This window comes from Homo sapiens, chromosome 1, assembly GCF_000001405.40.
Source record: "Homo sapiens chromosome 1, GRCh38.p14 Primary Assembly".
NCBI classification, from domain to species: Eukaryota; Metazoa; Chordata; class Mammalia; order Primates; family Hominidae; genus Homo; species Homo sapiens.
Window position 1 is genome coordinate 224,490,106 of NC_000001.11, and position 21,334 is coordinate 224,511,439.

The following is a 21,334-nucleotide window of genomic DNA, read 5'->3' on the forward strand; positions in this document are numbered from 1 at the left end:
TGAGTGTTGCAAGGGAATCCAGGCTTTAGAAAGACAGGCTCATCCAATAAAAAATGCAACAAGTATTTAAAGGAAAAAATTACCAAATCACTGAGTTTACTGTTTATGGTGGAAAACCGGTGTTTTTCTTGTGTGATATTAATATTTACAAAGGTTGAGACATATCTTCAGGCATTAGCATTGCAAAAGTTAGGGATAGAGATGTTTTTGTTAGGGAGTCACTACAGGAATGGTTCAGGGTTTCATATTTTGGGGACTAGAATTATAGAGAGTAATCCTGGTTTTTGTGTTTTGTTTTGTCTCTGGGTGCAAAGTGGTTTTCTCCCTCTGCTCCCCCATGGGATGTGGCCCAGGAGGGTATTAGTTTAGTCGTGTTTTCACAGTTTTTCTTTATGGTCAAGTTCTTTTCTCGCATGCAGATTTGACCTCCTAAATTGTTTTGAGATTTTTCTGATTCCCTATAACTCATTTGAAATTTTGTTTTATTTACATCATGTATAAGAGATGTTAATACACCAATACATCCTTGTTACAGACTTCAAAAACCAGAGCCTTCTGGTTTGAGACTTAACTTGTAAATCCTCCATATCTGTAATGTACTTTTATGTGTCACATTATTTTATGGCCTGTTAAAAGAGAAACTTCAGCGGAATTAAATTTAAAGGAGTTTAACTGAGCAATGAATGATTTGCGAATCGGGCAGCTCCCAGAATCACAGCAGGTTCAGAGAGACTCCAGGGATGCCTCATGGTCAGAACAAATTTAAGACAAAAAAAAGAGAAATGACATACAGAAATTGGCAGTGAAGTACAGAAACAGCTGGATTGGCTATGGGTTGGCATTTGCCTTATTTGAACACAGTTTAAACACTTAGCAGTCTATGAGTGGTTGAAGTATGGCCACTGGGATTGGCCAAGACTCAGCTATTGTTACAGGCGCATACTCCTAAGTTAGGTTCTCAATCTTGTCTGCCTATTACAAGGTTACAGTTTGTCCACAAGTACTCAAATATAGAAATACGGAGTCCTTCTCAGGCCATATTTAGTTTGCTTTAACAGGCCCTTATTAGTGTATTTACTGAGCTGAGGAACAAAAACCATCCAGTTTGCTTCTATGAGGTTTCGTTTGTCTGAGACCCCTCCAAATTAGTCATTTTCCTAACTTGCTAGGCAATTCTTTACTATCTGTAAAGCTGATATTCCATAAACCACAGAATAAGTTCCAGGGCAGTTTTCTGGGAATGGTGTGCTGGAACCGGCTCATACTGGCTTGCAAGAACTGATTGTTAAATTTGTAGGAATTTTGTAAGCTGCTTGTTAAACATGGCCATTATGAGAAACTAAACTTTATGATATACAATTAAATAAATTATGTTTAAAACAATGGCAATAAATACTCAAAACTTATCTCTTACTAATTATTGTATGGCAGTTTATTTTTATCTATGCTCTTAAGCTTATTTGCATCTATTAAATAAATTCATTTATTTACTTTATTTTTTATTTATTTATTTTTTTTGAGACAGAGTCTCACTCTGTCACCCAGGCTGGAGTGCAGTGGCACAATCTCAGCTCACTGCAACCTCTGCCTCCCGGGTTCAAGCAATTCTCCTGCCTCAGCCTCCCAAGTAGCAGGGAACTACAGGTGCCAACCATCATGCCTGGCTAATTTTTGTATTTTTTAGTAGAGATGGGGTTTCACCATGTTGCCCAGACTGGTCTCGAACTCCTGACCTCAAGTGACTCTCCCACCTCGGCCTCCCAGAGTACTGGGATTATAGGCATGAGCCACTGCACCTGGCCCATTTATTTACTTTATTTTTATTTTTGTAGAGACAAGATCTTGCTATATTGCCCAGAGACTGTTCTTGAACTCCTGGCCTCAAATGATCCTCTTATCTTGGCCTCTCAAAGTGCTGGGACTGTGGGCATGAGCTGCTGTGCCTGGCCTCTCTGCATCTATTGCATTTATTTATTTAATGATTCTTCATCATTCAACTTGAATATTGCATCTTTATGGTGGAAATACTTTATAATGGTGTGCCATTTCATGTCTTCTCAACTCCACATTCAGTGATGTCATGTTAACATTGGCCATGACAGGAATATTTATGCCACAGAAATTGGCAAATGCAACAACACAGTGTGTTTTTTTCCTTTGCAGAGCTGGTTGTTAAACACTTACCGACACATTACTGTGTGTAGGCATTCCTCCCCAACCTGTAAAGCATAGTTCTTGTTCCTTAAAAGTGGCTTGTCATATCTAATTAAATGAGATTTGGGTCTTGGTTATTGTTGCAAATTTGATTTATTCAGTTTAATCTTACAGGAAAGAGGATGGATTTTTATTGAGCCTAAGTAAATAACCTACATGACGTAAAGGTGAAGGAACTGAATAAAAGCACTTTGAATAATATTTAACCATTGTTGCCATGGTTTTGGGTAGTTTATAGATAAAATCTATTAATATATTCTACATAATCATTATTGTTTGAAGTTTTTCCTTTCAATTTTCTAGTTTAACATATATACAAAGAATTTTAATAAGAAGATTTTATTTTGCTGATCTTGGGGTAGACAGTCTGCTTTCTTGAAGTCATCTCTTTCTGTGCTAGACATCCTGGAAGGCCTGAGTCCCCAGTATAGAGTCACAGGTGTCTGTGGTAATAACATCAGCTCCTGCTCAAAAGCCTGTGCTCCGAGTCTACCTGTTACAGTTTTTATTGCATATTTTTTTGACGTTTCTTCAAAAAGTTCCCATTTTATTTCTGAGTTTGTAACAGAGGCTTTTAGGCAAGTATGAGAGAAAAGCAGGCACCATCTGTTGATAGTAAGACTGAATGACTTTGGCTATTTTACTATAATCACCAACAATATCAGAATGGAGGACAGTGATCCATGGAATCCATTTATAAGGATTGAGTCAACGATTTCCCTGGAGAGTGAGGGCATTGACCCAGGGTCTTTAATCATCCCTTGAAATCTTGTTTTATTTGTCACCAGTTGACAAAGGTACTTTAAGCCTAGAAACAAAATTTTCCTTCTTTTTATTTTTTGTTTTTTAAAGAAATCCATTTGTTGGAAGTTATTTGGCTAGTCTTTGTATATAAACTTGATATGGTGGGTAAGTAGGGTAGGTGACTGATTCGTGTAATATATATGCGGAAATTTTAAATTTGCAGAACATAAAGGAAGTTTGCAAGTCATTTTTTGGCTTTTAAAGTTGTCTTTAGCAAACCAAAAGGTCAGGGAAACCTACCTGGGGCGCTGAACGTTTGTGTGTGTGTGTTAATAGGTGTGTTTATGATGTTTTGGGAGTGGGGTAGGGAGACCTAGTGTGCTTCTTTAAATGTAGTTTCAACCTACCCCGAGGGCTCAAGGAAGGGGTGTGATTGCTGTTAGCAAAAATTATGAAAAGTAAACACCTGGGAGTGGCAGAGAGGGGAGCAGGTGGTTTCCAGTACAGAACAAAGCACAAAGTTGAGACGTCCCAATGAGTTGCAAGGTTTATCAAAGTGACTTGTTTCAGTTACAGTAAAAAGTATTGGAATTTGGGGATGATTTGCTTTTACCATATCTTGTAGATAATTCAGGTCACTCTCATTCAGTGGTACTCCCAAAAGCACATGGGAGAAACAAAGGTAGGAATCAAGCTGTTTGTGTAGGTTGGAGGTGAGAAGAATGGCAGGGGAGAGAGTGCGATTCCTTTCTCCTCTCACGCACCTGGAGGAGACTCAATAATTTCCTCTCCAGTCTGCAAAGGACAGCCCAGAGTCCCGTCATTAACACCACTTTGTGCTTATCACTGCCACAGAACCAATCGGGTATGTAAATTTGCTGCAGTACTGCAGCATTTTAACTGACAATACACTTGAAGGTATTGATCTGATGAGAAAGGACAATGGAAGATCAGATGTGGTTCTTCAAATTAACTGCAAAATCAGTAATAATGTCTTTCAGTCTTTTAGCCTTAAAAGCCACCAGGGTCGATTTTTAAATATGTCTTATCACAGATGTCAGGTCAAAAGCTGTGGTAATATAATTTCTGAATATTTTATCAGCAGTGTTGGTATTTCACATCCCTTATTGATAAAATTGACTAAAGGAACCTTGAAACATTAGATCTTGTATAATTTTCATACAGGATTTCAGAAATCACAGAGCCTCTCAACGTGCTATCTAGTCCAAGGGAGTAGAATTAACTAATTCTGCTCACATCTTTCTCAGCATGCTGGGTCCTCTTGATTTATCCCTGTGTCCTTCTAATGCTCTCAGACCAGTAGGCCCAGAGAATGTATGTCAGGCAGAAACCAGTGCTACATCTTGTGTTCCCCCTCAGCCTACATCTTGGAAGCAGGGAGGGGAGGATGATAGAGGAGACCAGAAGAAGTAACTGATTTATCAAGCCTGCTGCCTGACAGTCCTGATTTTTGAGTTCACATTCCTGCCAAATCTTTGCTTGTGGCTGAAGCCGTGTGATAACCAGCTTGATGGTACTAAATACTGGTTTCTGTAGTTTAACTTCTATGGTTCTTTCGGGGTTCCTTTTGCAGCCACTTTATCTTAAAGACCTCTTTGGGATTCTGCCCTAATCAAAACTGAATTCCAACTTCCACAGCTCCAATAACAGGTGGCCCAGGTCAGGGCCTGGTAAAGAGAGTATTTTTGAGCCCTGAGGTGCCCACCAGATTGATTCTGAACTGGACTCATGCCCAACGCCCTCTGGATCTTTGTCTCACAAAATCAGATTATTACACTAAAGTCTCTCAGATGTTTTTGGAGGGTTGTTTTGAAAGTGGCTTGCTTTCTTCTGCCCTCTCTGCCTACCTCCACTTTCCCCTATTCAGGGGCTGCGCCTGAGCCCCCCAAGCTGCTCCTTACCTGAATCTGGAGTACAGGACAAATACACACACATGTACTCATACACGCATGCACACATGCACACACACACACTCTCTACCAGTTCATGCCTTAGAGGCCTATCAGAACTGCCCCATAGTGAGAGTAGTTCCCGTGGTAGGCAGGGGAGACCTTCCTGAGACCCCTACCTGAGACTCATCAATTTTTTGGCTGTTCAATGAGCCTCCTCATGTAAGGACTTGAGACTACCTCACACAATGAGCCCAGTCCTGATCCCAGCCCCCTTCTCTCCCATGCCAAGGTATTGTCCTTCCTATGGCAGAAGGAGAGGGTCCCAGGACATGCCTTGTATATACCTTGAGTTTTGTCAATCCAATATGATTTTTTACTACAAGATCAATGGGAAGGTCTTGTATCCTTAACTACTTAAAAATTGGACTTGTTTCCTTCCTGGAAAAAAACGATGAATTCATTCGTTCATCAAATATTTATTGCCCTGCTAGGTGTCAGGCTAGGTGCTGGGGATACAAAGCTGAGCCAAAATAGTCTCTACTTTAATGGAGTGTTTGTGTAGCTGGGCATCAATATGAATGAATCACTCCATAGATGCAGTCTTACAGCAGTGGTGTCACAAAGACGCTGATGCAGCTGTGAGGGCTTAGAGGAGAGGATTTTACTGCTCCAAGGGGTCCTCCTGGAGGAAGTGATGCTGAGCTGAGATCCCAGGAGGAATGGGCATTCACCAGGGGAAGGGCATTTGCTATTGGAGAGAAGTGGCTGGAGGAGGGGGTCGGGGAGCAGCAGTCCATGTGCAAACTCTCTGGGCAAGAGGAGCGGGCTGAGTGTGGGCATCATGGCTCACTCCTATAATCCCATCACTTTGGGAGACTGAGGCAAGAGGAACCCTTGAGGCCAAGAGTTTGAGATCAGCCTGTGAACACAGTGAGACCCCATCTCTGCAAAACACAACAATGAAAAAGGCATCTGTGAGCTATCCGTGGGCAGAGAGAGCGCAACTAAGCAGTAAGATATGCTCTTTTCATGTGGAGTGAAACATAATCTGGGAAGTGAAAAATTATTCAAGATCTCATGTAGTGGCAGAGACTCAGCCCCTTGTCCTCCCAGCTGCACGAGTCTGTTGTCTCAGCCTCTCTGCCAGCCCAGCAGTTACTGAACAACTACATGTCGTTCTCAATACCCTAGAACTTCTGCTTCCTCAGGGCTGCTGCTTGCTGCCTCCTCTCTTGTGTCTCTTGGCTTATACCAACCACCATCCACTCGAGGAGGGTCTAATTGATCCATTCCTGCCTGAGGAGACTGTGGGGAGAACTTCCATGTCTGAGCACTTTCTGTGCTGCTGGCTGTCCCGTGGGCAGATGTCAACTCCAGTCCATTCAGCTCTGGCCCACCTAACTAGTGTTGCTGATGACACCCCTTCTGCTACCACCATCGCTCCTGCTGCTGCTGGGGCCTCCATGTTAGCCTGATACTAGGAGAGCAAGAAACTGAAGCCTCCTGATTTTCTCTTCCAGGTGGTATAGCAGTATGAGCACAGGCCAAGCAAGGCTGGCCTTGAGATGAGGAGGCCAGATGGTCCCTGAATCAGGGTGGTTTCAGCATGCCCAGGAAGGTGCTGCTGCTTCACAGACAGGTAGCGACTTATACTTAAGAAATTGTTTACAGTGAACAGGATGGGTCCCTTCCCTCAAAGAGCACTCCATGCAGTTGTGGAAACAGACTCAGTGTGACGGGTACAATACTACAGGTGGCATAGGATATCATGGTGGGAATACTGCAAATCCTTATTGAAAACAGGCATATTATAAATACCTTGTAATGAATGCAATACCATAGCTGATACTCATTTCTTTTAGACTTACCTATGTTTTCAGATATATAAAAACTCTAGGAATTCCCAAGGTAATTGAAAACATATGTCCACACAAAAACTTGTACAATAATGTTCATAGCAGCGTTATTCACAATAGCTGAAAGGGGGAAGCAACTCAAGTGTTCTTTGATGGATGAATGGATAAACAAAATGTGGTATATCCATACAATGGAATATTATGCAGCCATAAAAAGGAATGAAGTACTATTATATGCTACAACATGGATGACTCTTGAAAACATGCAGTGAAAGAAGCCAGTCACAAAAAAACTACATTTTATGATTCCATTAATATGAAATGTTCAAATAGGCAAATCTATAGAGACAGAAAGTAGAGGAGTGGTTGTCAGGGAGAGAGGCATAGGGAGGAATTGGGAGTGACTGCTAATAGGTACAAGATTTCTTCCTGGGGTGATGAAAATGTTCTAGAATTAGCTAGTGGTGATGTTTGCACAACATAGTGAATATACTAAAAACCACTGAACTGTATACTTTAACAAATGATAGATTTTATGTTTACTTTAAAAAATGATAGATTTTATGTTATGTGAATGATATGTTGATTTTTAAAGTCTAGGAATTAATCAATTATACTGTGATGGAATATGATATTTTAAGTCAGAAATTTACTTGTGGCATCATCTTCACTGTTCATCTGTAGAATCAGGAGAAGTGATGTTTCCTAGGTTGCTGTGAAGATTAGATAAGATAATGCATATGACAGACTTAGCTGCAAGAATATGGGTTGGGAACCCTTTGTTGTTATAGATGCATTTCTAAAGCAACTTTTTTTATGTGTTGCTGTTTGTTGGAGCCCTCCAGGAGGATCTTGGCACTGAGAGAAATCCCTAAACTAGAGTCATGGCTGAAGAGTGCTGAACACTTCCTGCACTGCTGGCTGTATGGTGGTCAGATGCTCCTGACTATGACCCTGCAGTGAAGCCCGGATCTGGGCAAAACTGAGAAGTAGTTGACACTTGCATCTCTTTCCTGACTGTCTTTTCTGGCCTGGTAGTCTTTTGGGTTATAATTCAGCATCTCTTCCATCTGCATGTCTCAAGTGATTAGTATTTTCCAAAGTGAGCTCATCACATTAATCATATTAGGGTATGAGCAGCCCTTTTAAGCTGTATTTGTATCTTACAGGAAGACCAGAAAAGCTCAGAAGGAGGAAGAATCTTCAGGCACTGTGCAAAGGGAGGGCAGGGAGAGGGGGAAGTTATTCTGCAGCAGCAGTGCCTTCCTGGGCATCCTGAAACCACCCTGATTCAGGGCCCATCTGGCCTCCTCATCTCAAGGCCAGTCTTGCTTGGCCTGTGCTCACTGCTGCCACTGCAATGCCATCTGGAAGAGAAAATCAGGACAATGGCTTCAGTTTCTTGCTCTCTTAGGATTAGGCTAACATGGAGGCCCCAGCAGCCCCAGCAAAAGCAGCAGTGATGGTGGTGGCGGTAGGGGTGTCATTAGCAACACTAATGAATCACTGCTGGGCCCGGTTCTCTTCTCTGACTCAGCTTGAAACTTCTTTCAGTTAACAGGAAGCCAGTAACCAGTAAAGTCAAAAGCTTATATGCAACTCTCTGGATTGGAAACCACTGGGGTGTTTTTTAAGCTTCTATTTCTAAAATAAGAAGGGAAACCAATGGACAGAAGCTTCCCTGTCTTCTTTGATGCAGATAAACTATGTTGGTAGAGGGTGATTGTGAGCTGGGGCCCTTGTTTCTTATGAAACTAAAAAATTCTACATGAGTTTACAAAAACAGGAAGCTGGCAGTGAAAGCTATTGGAATTATGTAAATGAAACAGTCAGTTTGGAATGCAGGTGGGAGTGTGCCTGTGGGAAAGAATGGAGAATGCATCAGAACACGGGCAGCCAGGTTACCATGCGCTGCTTCAGCACAGGGGAAGATGCGGGGGGCAAGGAACCTTCACTGCCCTGGCGTCATCAGCCCAGTGCTGCAACAGTGCAGCAGAAAGGGCAGCGGGGAAAGGCGACAGGAAGAGGAATCAAGACACTTACATTGCTCTAGGAGAGATTCGCATTTTTTTGTGGATCTGAGGATGGGAGCTCTGGGAGCTCTGGAGCCTCTTCCTGTCCGCAGGCACTGCAAAGCTTTAGCACACCAGTAGCTCCCCAGAGGGCTGGGAACCCATGCCAGGACTGGCACCCGCTCCGGGAAGGGGTGCTGGGAGTGCCATGATTTAGATCAGTGATTCACAAACTTTTGGTAGTGAAGACACTCCGTTAAAGCTTATTGTTTTGGGGTTGTATCCTACTCCCCGCCTTTTAAAAATGTTAGTTAAAAATTTAAATTAAAATGGACTTTGTTTTAAAATTAAAAATTTCCTGTTGTTTGAAGCTTCTATGACAACTGGGTAGCCTTCTGAGGTATTGTAATACAGTATTAGGATTTGGACTCTCTGCTGTATACACTAAGCTCTTAAGGGTGAAGGGCAGGCCATTGGTTCTGATAAGAAGAGAGGTTGCCATAGGTATCTCTGCTTTCTTACTCTTCCCCACTCCAGGCCATGTGGACATCTGGAGATATTTGATAAAATGTCCTTTACCAGCCGAGACTCATGACTAATCAATCGTTGTTTTTGTTGGTTTGCTTCTAATCCCTCTCCCTTCCAGTCTATCTTTCATCCTGCCATCAATTTCCTAAAACAGATTTGATGTGCCACCTCCCTCCTCAACAGTTTTCAATGGGATTTCCTACTGCCTGCATAAAGTCTAATGCCTTAGAATGGGGCAAGGAAAGCCTTTCATGATTTAACCCTCTAATACCTTTCTAGTTTCAATTTTTTATAACTCTCTATTTCGGGTCATTTTTTGAACATCAAGAAACTGAAAAGCATAGCTCAACTGCCTTATACAATACACGCCGTTATTTGCTTCTGGGACAAAAGAAGTCTAGAGTCAGCTGACTGGGCACTGTGGCTCACACCTGTAATCCCAGCACTTTGGGAGGCTGAGGCAGGAGGATCGCTTGAGGCCAGGAGTTCAAGACCAGCCTGGGCAACATAGCGACATCCTATCTCTACCAAAAAAAAAAAAAGAAAAAAGAAAAGAAAAAGAAATCTAGTGTCAGAGTGGGGCTTTGGGTAAGGCTCAACAATTCCCCAAGGATCTAATTCCTTTCTTTCTTTTTTCTTTTTTCTTTTTGAGACAGGATCTTACTGTGTCTCCTAGGCTGAAGTGTAGTGGCACAATCATGGCTCACTGTAGCCTTGACCTCCTGGGCTCAAGTGATCCTCCCACCTCAGCCTCCTTAGTAGCTGGGACTACAGGCCTGCACCATCAAGCCTGACTAATTAAAACAATTTTTTTTTTTTATAGAGATAGTGTCTCCTTATGTTGCTCAGACTGGTCTCTTGAACTCCTGGTCTCAAGTCATCCTCCCACCTCAGCCTCCCAAAGTGCTGTGATTACAAACTGAGCCACTGTGCCTGGCCACAATTTCTTCCTAATTCTCATGGTCCCAAAATGGTTGCCAGCAGCCTTCATCTCATGTCTCTAAAGAAAGAATGACTTGGCTGGTGCAACAGTTCATGCCTGTAATCCCAGCACTTTGGGAGGCCGAGGCAGGCAGATAGCTTGAACTCAGGAGTTGGAAACCAGCCTGGCCAACATGACGAAACTCTATCTCTACCAAAAATACAAAAACTTAGTCAGGCTTGGTGGCATGCATCTGTGGTCCCAGCTGCTTGGGAGGCTGAGGAGGGAGGATGGCTTGAACTCAGGGGGCGGAGGTTGCAGTGAGGCGAGATTGTGCCACTGCACTCCAACCTGCTGGGCGACAGAGTGAGACAAAAAAGCAAAGAAAAAAAAAAAAGAATGACTTTTCCCCAGCATTCATGACTGATCTTTAATCTGAGTAGACTTGTTTCTGACGTACATCTGCCCCTGCACCAACCCCAGTCGCCAGTGGGCTGGGATGTGCTGAGTGGCTACCTGCTGCACGATTTCCCTTGACCTCAAGACTCCCCACAATGCAGTGGATGCCTAAGTGGACAATGAGGCTGCTAGGATGGAAGAAGGGGGGCTGGAACCCGAGGAAGCAGCCGGCATCTGTGCATTCCACACACCCTGCACCATCACATCTCCATGCCTCCCCTTCTGCCACTTCCTGGAACCTACCATCTGCTTCCACTGATCAGAGCCCTGCTTATGCTTCAAAGCCTTGCTCGTGGGCCACCTCTGCTGCTGTGCCTCTTCTGTTCTGGAAACAGTAATCTTTTTTTTCATCTCTCTACTCTCTAAAGCATATCATGTTTCTATCTCATGTGCATTTACTAATTCTGCTTTGTTTTATGTCCACTTGTTTGTATATTTGACTCCTATATTGAACAGAAAGACACTTGAGGTAGGCGGAGTCATACTTTGTTCATTGTAGGGGTTTAAGAGTGTTGAATAAATGGTCATGGGCAATAATACTATCATTATTGAGAGCTTACTGGGTGAAAGGCACTTTGTAAAGAATTCTTCTCATAATTTTATTTAATCTCATTTAATCTTGACAACAGCACCATGAGGCAGATACTATTATTATTGTATCCAGTTTACAGATGAGGGTCCTGGAGCTTAGAGTGATATAAGCGAATTGCCCAAGGTCACATGCTCAGCAGACAGCAGCATAGGCTTGAACCTATATATATATATATATATATTTTTTTTTTTTAACCCCAGAGTTCATGTTCTTAATCATGATAATGTTTTATACAGAATTTTTTTTTTTTTTGGAGATGGAATCTCGCTCTGTCGCCCAGGCTGGAGTGCAGTGGCGCGATCTCGGCTCACTACAACCTCCGTCTCCCAGGTTCAAGCGATTTTCCTGTCTCAGCCTCTGGAGTAGCTGGGATTACAGGTGCGTGCCACCACGCCCAGCTAATTTTTTGTATTTTAGTAGAGACGGGGTTTTACTGTGTTGCCCAGGCTGGTCTCAAACTCCTGAGCTCAGGCAATCCACCTGCCTCGGCCTCCCAAAGTGCTAGGATTACAGGCGTGAGCCACTGCTTTATACAGAAATTTGTTTGTGACCAGCTACTTTCCTGGAAGAGGGGTCCCTGTTGGAGATGATTCTGTGGTGAGGAGGCTGGAGGAAGGTAGGGTGGAGGGGCAGAGGACCTGGAGGCTTCATGAGCAACTGGAGGGAGGTGCTGAAGAATGTGGGGAGGGCAGGTGAGCAGAGGATCCTCTGGGCCTTGTTCAGAATGGTTTGCCCAGAGGGGTCTTCCCTGAGGATACCACTTGTGGGCAGAACCCAGGAGTGCTGCAGATACGGCTCCCGGAGAGTGAAGCCCTGGTTTTCTTGGGGTCCTCAGAAACAGAGGGAATCAAGTCACTTTACTGGCCCAAGGGAATGGAAATTAGGGGCCGAAACAAACATCTACTGGGATAAAATAAGTGGTGTGAGTGAGATTGCAGCCAGAAATGATCTCTGTGAACGTAGCTGGTCAGCAGAAGTATCTCGTGATAGAGACTCCATGTGGACAGCATGGAGGAAAGAGGAGAAGGGCAGCCTTTGGAGCCGAAAGCCCAGCTCTCCTGAAAGGCACAGCCATGGAGCAAGAGCCGAAAGCCTTTTATTTGGAGGCTGGCCTATTTCTTTATCGCTAAACCCACTTTGCCTGTTTCCAGAGCCTCCTGGCTTGCATGAGCAGAACGAACAGCCTTCCTCCTGGTCTAGGCACTCTTGCACCAGTGTAACCTGCAGCGTGGGGAGGTGGATTGCCATTCCACCTCTAGAGTTAGGGAGGGCGGGGCCCGTGCCAGGGGAATGGAGTCCAGTAATTACTGAGCAACCCCCCTGCTTACATTCCCTGCCGAGTTCTACATAAACAATCAGCTGAAAAGACTGTCCCCTTTTCATAGTTTTCACCGCTGGGTGTTTTCAGAAGCAATTTAAACACTGGCAAACATAAAGGGAAGCTTTTATCCCTTCTCTAACCACTGAAAGGAAGCCGTGGATTTAAACACCATATGAATGGTGGGGAACAGAGCCCAGAGACATAAAAGGTGGAGGGAAGGGTGAGATGTTGAAAGCCTGTGAGTTGACAGGGGGTAGAACACAGGCTAAGGTGATGGGATCGGAGCTTTGGAGGGTGAGGGAGGAGGAGGAGGGAAGAAACAGCTGGGTGCCAACCCCAGAAGGGCAGAAGGAAGGCAAACAGCTCTCCCGGGGAGGGAGGGAGGGAGGGAGGTGGGGGCAGGGGCGGAGGAAACCTGGGAGACTTCTGCACGGATGAAGTCACCACCTTTTTGGGAGGAGGATGAGAAAGAAGATGGCCTTTAGTTTGTATTCAAATCCAATACACTATTTAGAACACAATGTACTAAATGTCATATACAATTTAATTGTGTGTAATTAAAATTCCTATCAGCTAGGGAGAGCCTGAGGCACGGGTGCTGCACTTGCTGAAAGCCAGGACCGCAGAGTGTTCCACATCTCCTTCCCTTGTCGGTCTTTTGGCCCTAATTCCTCTCTGTCTTTTCCTCCCTTGCTTCTGTCTTTGTTCCTCTTGTCTCTGTCACCCTCCCCCCTCTTATTTCCTTCTTCCTCCTGTTTTGACCCCACAGGCAGCCTGGACTCTCACTCTGAAACAGCCAGGTGGCTCCCCTGCAGGAGGAGGGCTGTCGCTGCTGTCTGCAACCCCACCGGGCCTCCCAGAGCCGAGGTGACAGCCTGGGCCTCGGGGAAGCCCGTGTCTCATGGGCGGTTGTCCAGCTGCTCAGGCCTGCACAGGGGCGGGTCCCCTCCTAATCTTATCCTCACACAACCCTGGCAACCGCACAGGGCTGCCTGGTGTTTAGCAAGGGGAGGTGGAGTGTGGTCCTCCCCCAGGAGAGGCAGCAGGCGACTTCCCTATTGAAAACACAGCTGTGGCAAGGGAGATAGACAGGAAACCCGACCCAGCCCTCTGGCAGGGATTGCCGTGGGAGTGCCAACTACTGTGGAATAACAGGCCCAGCCCTGCAGGCTCGGGCACGCTGTGCTGTAGGCCACAGCAACCACAGGCTCTGAGGCCTCTGGCCGCTCCAGGAGGGAGGGGTGCCGGGACAGAGACGCCCTCAGGCCTGGGAAGGCAAACTTGGAGGTGGGGTGGAGGGGACTTGAGGACTGGGTGATAAAACCTGGTTTAGTTATTAGTGGAGTTAAATTATTCATTTCCTTGCTCCCTTTAAGTCTCAGTTTCTTCATCTGAAAAATGGATACAGTACTTGCCCTACTTACTTAAACAGGCTGTTTTGAGGACTGTATGGATGATGCCTTCCCGAGTTAGACCTAGGTTCAAACCTGAAACCCTACTGTTGCCACATGTTAGCTGACCTTGGTCTCTGTTTTCTCACCTGGGAGGGACAAGACTACAACCTACTTCCTAGCACCCTGTTAAGGCTGGAATGAGCTAGTGTAGTGCCTGGTTTATTATAAATTTCTCAGTAAATGTTACCCATTGTCATCATCAAATGGGACAGTTTTGTGCAAGCATTTTGTAAACTATGGTGTGTTCTTTAAAAATGTAGGACATTATTCTTATGCAGACTGGCTGAAATTCTGGGCTCCAAGCGACATTTGGTAAAGGGATTCCTCTTCCAATTTCCTCTCCCCCTAAGAAAGTTCCCCTTTCCTCCTGCGGTCTTCTGGAGGCTTCAGCAGGAGACTGCTCCCATGACCCCCTCCCCTCCCCTCTCCTCCCCTCCTGTACCCACCTGCCTTCCATGTTTCCTCTAGAGCCCAGCTGAATTCCTCCAAGGAGTCATGTGTCACTAGTCCAACCCCACCTTAATCTTTTTCTGGGTTCTCCTGTGACTTAGTTGTAACTGGTCTTTGCATGCCGCTGCTTATAGATTCACACTGCTTGAGTTCAAAGCCCACATCTTAACTCTGTGACCTTGGGGTAAGTAATTTAACCTTGCTAGGCCTCAGTTTTCTTATCTGGGAAATGGGACATTGCAATAGCTATCTCATCAGGCTGTTTAGAGGATCAGATGAGACCCTGTTCCTGAGGTGGTCAGCATGATGCCTGACACATTGTAAGTGCTCAATGGAGGGCAAGTATGGCTTTTATGCCACTGAGTGTTTAATATGAACGTTTTTATTCCCTGACTTGAGTGTAAGCTCTTTATTATTTTCCCTTTCCCTCCCTCCCTCCCTCCCTCCCTCCCTCCCTCCCTCCCTTCCTTCCTTCCTTCCTTCCTTCCTTCCTTTCTTGTGAGAGACAGGTCAAGTGTAAGCTTTTAAAGAGTGGATTATGAGCCTAGGCAACATGGCCAAACTCTGTCTCTACAAAAAATACAAAAATTAGCCAGGTATGGTAGTGCGCGCCTGTAGTCCAGGAGGCTGAGGTGGGAGGATTGTTTGAGCCCGGGAAGTCAAGGCTTCAGTGAGCTGTGTTCATGCCACTGCACTGTAGCCGGGGTGACAAAGCAAGACCTTGTCTCAAAAAGGAAAAAAAAAAAAAAAAGTCTTTTTTGCCATATCATGAATTGTGGTATACACGTAGTGGGTACTCAGGTACCTTGAATACACTTTCCCCTTCATTTTGGTTAGGTTGTCTGTAAATCTGCAGAGTGACGTTACTTCACAATGATGACATATTACTTTTCTTTATTTTCACAGGGGAGAGAACTAATATTTTAGTAAACACTTATTTTTGCATCATGCTGAAAACTTTTACATATTATCTCCTTTAACTTTCACAGGAAAATCAAACCCCTAGGGTAGGTGTAATTATCCCCATTTTACCCACAAGAAAACTAGGGCTCAAAAAGATTGAGTAACTTGACTAGGATTACGTAGCTGCCAGAGCTGGAATTCAGACTCAGGTCTGTTTGACTCTAAGATCTTGTTTCATTTTATTTAGATTGTTTGTGCCTTTCAGTAACACTGTCTTTGTAGAGCAGATTCTAAACTTTAATTTTATTTACTGTTTATACCAACAGCATATGAACCATTGGCGTTCAATAAAATTGGTAAACTGCCAATTGATTACCAAAAAAATCTGGAGGTGCAAAGTCCTTTGAACAAGCCAAAGCTTTAACCGAAAATAGTACATTGATCCCTGTGACCTATTGCACTAAAAGTTTGGTTATTTCTCTTGAAATGATTGGCTTAAAGGCTTCATCTTGTTTGCCACTTTGGAAGTATACTCCCTCCCCTGCTCCCAGTTGGAAAGATTGCTCCCAAGACCCAAGCCTTTTTATTTTAAGGAATCTTGGTTTATACAATACTGAACAATTACGATCTTTCGAGAATGAATCTTTTGAAAATAGTGAATCTCTGAGGAATGAAATTCCTTTGTAACAAAGGCAGCTGAGTATTAAATAAACCAAAAAATCAGCAGTGAAGTGCTGTTGGTGTGTCACCAGGCCTGGGGCCACATTCCCATTCCTTACACTCATATGCACGCACACGCGCGCGCGCGCGCGCGCACACACACACACACACGGTCACTCCTCTTTGTCCCAGAACCGTGGGATGTAAAAGACTTCAGGCACAGTGATGAAGCTAGCACATTCCGTTTTTACTGTCTTCCCTCCTTCCTCCTTCAGCCTTGGCTTCTGCTCTGCCAGGCCCCAGGGCCCTGCTCGATGCCACCCTCCTGGCCCCAGTGCAGAGGATCTGCTGGCAGTCCCCGCTGCTCAGTGGAGTTTTAGTCTGCATGTTACTCTGTAGGGCGTGTGCAAGGAGGGGAGGATGAGTGAGAGCTGAGATTGCATCGTCCCTGTTCTAAGGGCTTCCCTGAAGTTAAACCTGATACAGCCCTTTTAGGGTAACAATGTGAGATCAGAAGGGCAGCCAACAAGCCACGTGTCTAGCAGCCACCCTTGGGAAATGGAGTTGCTTGCTTTTCCATTAGACCCTTCTCCATACTAGAACTTCACATATGTTAAGCAATTAGACCATGCCCAGAACTGGACTAGAGAGAAAGTGATCACATTTTAATTATCAACAAGCTCAGTATCTACACGTTGATGAGAAGTATTCATACTCATAAAAGAAGGAAGCACCAATTCTTTTTTTTTTTGAGACAGGGTCTCTGTCTCCCAGGCTGGAGTGTAGCAGTGTGATCACAGCTCACTGCAGCCTCAACTTCTTGGGGCTCAGGTGATCCTCCTACCTCAGCCTTCTGAGTAGCTGGGACCACAGGTGTGAGCCACCACACCTGGCTAATTTTTGTATTTTTTTGTAGAGACGGGGTTTCACCGTGTTGCCCAGGCTGGTCTCAAATTCCTGGGCTTGAGTGACCTGCTGGCCTCAGCTTCTCACAGTGCTGGGATTACAGGCATGAGCCACCATGCCCAGCCACCAGTTCTTATAAACGTATCAACATGTATGTATCCCTCCAGATCCAACAAACCAAATAGAGAATTGTAGCAACCCAGAAAAGAGCGGTGCACGAGGCCAGGTGTTGTTAAGACACAGACTTGGAGCCAGACAGATCGGGTTCAAATCTTGACTCTGTCACTTAATAGCAATGTGACCCTGGGCAAGTGTCCTCTCTGTGCCTCAGTTTTCTCATTTGTAAATGAGGATAATAATAGTGCCTATGTTCTGGGGTTTGTTCTGAGAATTACATTAAATGGGTTAATATTTTTAAGGTGATTAAAATAGTGCCTAGCACATCATAAATTCTATTTAATGTTTGCCAAATATATATGTGTATGCGATCTTTCTCTGGTGTATATGTATCCCCATGATGTTAGATGCTGCAGCCTGAGGGCCCATAGTTAAATCAAAATGCTTTTGAATATAACACAGTCTAAGCCCCAAAACTCACCTTCATCTCTGCTCTGTTATCAAGGGTGTCTGCAAGCAAGGGGTACCTGGTGTCTTGTCCTGTAGTTGGATTCTTGCTGAACTGCAGAAACCCCATAGACTTACCAGTGCGGGAGGCCAATTTATCTTTATACCTCAAGAGTTCAGGCTTCTTATTAAACTATGTATGTTCACATTTAGAGATATTTACTATGTGCAATGCACTGTGGTGATATGAAGATGAATAAGACTTAGTCCCTGCTCAGGAATGGTGTTTGTATTCCATATACAGGTTTGATACCTGAGGGCAAGGGGTTAAGCATTTCTGCATACGCTAGACAACTCCTCATTGTTTTATAGGCTTTTCTCTCTGAAAGCAAAGTCCATTTCCCTGAATATCAGGAGAGGGCCATCTGCCATGCCAGAGTAGTGAATGAGAGGTATTTCCATTTGAGACTGCTATTTTCTGGTATATGTATGTTTTGTGAGAATCTACTCCTGAAATGTATTTGGCAATAGATAAATTTATAAAATAGAAGCTAGGTGGCTTGAGATAAAACATGTCCTTCTCTTCTTTTCCCCACAAAGTTTTCCTTTCTCTCCAATCCTTCAGATATGTTTTTTTCTAGACAATGATCATTAAAGCCAGATGTGGGCCTTTTCAAACTCACAACATGGCACAGGCTCAGATCTGGGAGAGTTGTAAATTCTTCTGGCATTTGAAGGGGCAGGCTTTCCCAGTAAAGACAGAAATATTCGGACTAGCACAGTTGGATTTTATACTGTATTTGTCTGTGTCTTAATTGGAATTCCTAAGATGTGATTTTTAACTTAATGGTCAATGACTTAGGTTGCAGTCTGTAGAATGGGGCCATGGACCATTAGTTATACCCTGTGCAGGAACTCTTTATGATAAAATATTGCTGTAACTTTCTGTTAATCTTACTTCCAGTTCCTTCCTGCTTTATTCCATAAAACATCTTGCCCAGTTTAGTTTCCTAAGCATAGCTCTGATAAAATTACTCTCCTCATGAAACTTCAATGATATCCCATTACTTAGAGTATCAAATATATCTTTAATTCAACATTCTTCAAAATATAGTACAACTCTAACTTCCAGCTTCTCCCACTAATCATATATGGTTTGTCATAATCATATGGATATAAATGTATGTATATATGTATTCCTGTATTCTAGCCAATGAGACTTTGTTTATTAAACACGTGATATATGTGAGGTACAGTATTAGACCCTGGGGGGTTCAAAGATAACTACGATTTTTATTCTAAAGTAGTTTAGGGTTTAGTAGTAGAACTAGGCATTTGAGTAAAAGCTAGAGGTAAAATGTGTTATTAGATACTAAAAGAGAGAAGTTGCCTGTATCGTCTACTCCTGGGCAAACCTCATGGTAAAAAAAAAGCCCTGGCTGGGCATGGTGGCTCACGCTTGTAATCCCAACACTTTGGGAGGCCAAGGTGGGTGGATCACTCGAGGTCAGGAGTTCAAGACCAGCCTGGCCAACATGGTGAAACCCCATCTATACTAAAAATACAAAAATTAGCCTGGTGTGGTGGTACACATCTGTAATCCCAGCTACTCGGGAGGCTGAGACGCAAGAATTGCTTGAACCTGGGAGGTGGAGGTTTGCAGTGAGCTGAGATCATGCCAGTGCACTCCAGCCTGGGTGAGAGAGTGAAACCCTGAAGATAGAAAGACGAAAGGAAAGAAGAAGGGAAAGAAGAAAGGAAAGAAGAAAGGAAAGCCTGGGTGGTGGTTTGTTTACTGGCTGTGAGTCTTCCTCTCAGCTTCTCCTGTCTGTTCTGGCTCCATGCTTTCCTCCAGCTCACACATAATCTACCCTCACCAGAGACCCAGTGCCCAATCCATGCAGCCCCTTCTCCCTGGCCCACCCTCCTTGCCACAGGTCAGGCTCTTGCTGTCCTGTCCTCTGGACTCTTGTCATCTCCCAAGTACCCTGCCTGCCCCAAATAGCTGCCAGAGTGGTTTTTCTGCAAACCTCAATCTGATCATGTTACTCCCCAGGTGAGATCCTCCACAGCTCCCTCTTGGCTACAAGATTAATCCAAACAAAAAGAAGTGTGAGGTGCCAGGCTGGTGACGATGAGACCCATGCTCAGTCTCTGGCACCTCTGTGCCCCCCTCGCCTGAAGTCTGAGTGCATGCTGGGGTGGTGTCCAGGCCTGAGGAGCAATCCTGCAACCTCCTTCCCTCCTCAGAGCTGCAGGCGACAGTGTCAGTGTCTCCCAGGGGCGAGCCCCAGCTGTCCACCTAGAAAAAGGGCCCCAGAAAGTGGTGGTGTCTCCTCCTCAATGCTTTCCAGCCCTCGATGCACGAACCATAGAGGAAGCTCCTTTGGCTGCTGGTTTCTGGGCTTCAGGCCTTCCTTTTCTTAGTCTGCTTCCCGTGGGCTCCTAGCAGTGTGGACCTCGTGGCTCTACCGCTGGCCTGCACTTCTCATCCTGCCTTGTTTAAACTTGATAACTGAACTCTGGACTCCTCCCTCTTGACTCACTGAGGGAAGTCTATGGATGTTCCCCTTGGAACTGCCCCCGTGAGAGGCTCTGTTACTGGGAAGGGGGAGCAGAGGTAGAAGAAGCTGGAGGGGTCAGCGGGAGTCAGTTTGCCCCATTCCCCATGCAAAGGAGCTTAAACTTCATCCTCAGCTGATGGGCAGGCATGGAGTGTCAGTAGGGGCGCCCCGTGGTCAGCGTTGTGTTTTAAAACGATCACTATCAGCAGTCGGGAGCCAGGGAGGCCAGTTGGGAGACTCAGAATTGAGGTGGGTGACAGCAAGAACCAGAAACAAGGCTGGGCACATGGCTTATGGCTGTAATCCCAGCACTTTGGGAAGCTGAGAGCTGAGGCAGGAGGCTTATTTGAGGGCAGGAGTTTGAGGCTGTAGTGAGCCATGATCATGCCACTGCACTCCAGCCTGGGCAACAGAACAGGACCCTGTCTCAAAAAAAAAAAACAAAAAAAAAACAAAAAAAAGAAAGAACTAGAACCATATTAATGTCCTGGCCGGTCAATGCAGTCATTGACCTTGATGCTGTGGGGCTCAGGTAGGCAGGTAAGAGGAAACACAGAGGAGCCGGGTTCCAGGATGGCACAACCAGAGTTTACTGACTGATACTCCAAAGGGGGTTCTGGAGCACATACTCTCTGTCCTGGCTCAGCACACACCAGGCCTCCCTGGCACTGAGGTCTGATGGTAACAGGTTGTCCCCTTCCTCCCTGGCTTTGTCCTCTGGGAGAAGGGGCAAGGGGGAAAGGAGGAGAGTTGTTTCATTCCACCACAGGCCAGCACTGAACACAGCCTGGCTGGAGATGCAAAATGCAAGCCAGAGGATGTGGTTTGGGTTGTCCCTGAAAAAGATCTCTGTTTATGCATTGTAGGATATTTTCAGATGAGGCTTAATGTGAAGAAAGGGAGGCTGACCTCTCTGAAAGGCCTGCTTCTTAAAGGCACAGTGCATTACAGTATATCACGAGAAGAATGGGAGCGGCAGATGCTATAGGTTTCTTCTTTATCAGTGATGCCATCACAGTTGTGGTTAGGCCAGAGGGCTGCTTGTCGTTTCCAAGGCTCTATTCCCAATTCAGTCTGTAACTCATGGTGTGATGTTAGATAAGACACTTCATTTTCCCCAGACCCTATTTAATAATCTGTAAAATACTCCTCTATCTTTTAGGAGGTGACAAGAGGTGGAATTAATTTGTGTTTGTGAAGTGCTTTGAGGTCCCCAGACAAAAGCCACTATGTAAATAGCTGAGTATTCTCCACTTGGATTGAACCTGTGGG

The 21,334-nt window shown here is 44.8% G+C and overlaps 1 protein-coding gene across 13 annotated transcripts in view, besides 6 other annotated features; it reads left to right on the forward strand.

Annotated features, from left to right (window-relative positions):
* CNIH3 (cornichon family AMPA receptor auxiliary protein 3) overlaps nucleotides 1–21,334 on the forward strand; it is a 305,915-nt gene that overhangs the window by 55,466 nt on the left and 229,115 nt on the right. The gene's annotated exons all lie outside the window — the stretch shown is intronic.
* Nucleotides 7,700–8,229: an enhancer, noted in NCBI's record as "NANOG-H3K27ac hESC enhancer chr1:224685507-224686036 (GRCh37/hg19 assembly coordinates)". NCBI's record gives its function as "activates a minimal SCP1, AML or CMV promoter by ChIP-STARR-seq in naive and primed H9 embryonic stem cells {active_cell/tissue: H9 hESC(naive and primed)}" and the evidence as "EXISTENCE:reporter gene assay evidence [ECO:0000049][PMID:30033119]".
* Nucleotides 7,955–8,154: an enhancer, noted in NCBI's record as "active region_2613". NCBI's record gives its function as "activates an Ori minimal core promoter by ATAC-STARR-seq in GM12878 lymphoblastoid cells {active_cell/tissue: GM12878}" and the evidence as "EXISTENCE:reporter gene assay evidence [ECO:0000049][PMID:35858748]".
* Nucleotides 8,230–8,761: an enhancer, noted in NCBI's record as "OCT4-NANOG-H3K27ac-H3K4me1 hESC enhancer chr1:224686037-224686568 (GRCh37/hg19 assembly coordinates)". NCBI's record gives its function as "activates a minimal SCP1, AML or CMV promoter by ChIP-STARR-seq in primed H9 embryonic stem cells {active_cell/tissue: H9 hESC(primed)}" and the evidence as "EXISTENCE:reporter gene assay evidence [ECO:0000049][PMID:30033119]".
* Nucleotides 10,137–10,637: an enhancer, noted in NCBI's record as "H3K4me1 hESC enhancer chr1:224687944-224688444 (GRCh37/hg19 assembly coordinates)". NCBI's record gives its function as "activates a minimal SCP1, AML or CMV promoter by ChIP-STARR-seq in naive H9 embryonic stem cells {active_cell/tissue: H9 hESC(naive)}" and the evidence as "EXISTENCE:reporter gene assay evidence [ECO:0000049][PMID:30033119]".
* Nucleotides 10,638–11,138: an enhancer, noted in NCBI's record as "H3K4me1 hESC enhancer chr1:224688445-224688945 (GRCh37/hg19 assembly coordinates)". NCBI's record gives its function as "activates a minimal SCP1, AML or CMV promoter by ChIP-STARR-seq in primed H9 embryonic stem cells {active_cell/tissue: H9 hESC(primed)}" and the evidence as "EXISTENCE:reporter gene assay evidence [ECO:0000049][PMID:30033119]".
* Nucleotides 18,949–19,860: an enhancer, noted in NCBI's record as "H3K27ac hESC enhancer chr1:224696756-224697667 (GRCh37/hg19 assembly coordinates)". NCBI's record gives its function as "activates a minimal SCP1, AML or CMV promoter by ChIP-STARR-seq in naive H9 embryonic stem cells {active_cell/tissue: H9 hESC(naive)}" and the evidence as "EXISTENCE:reporter gene assay evidence [ECO:0000049][PMID:30033119]".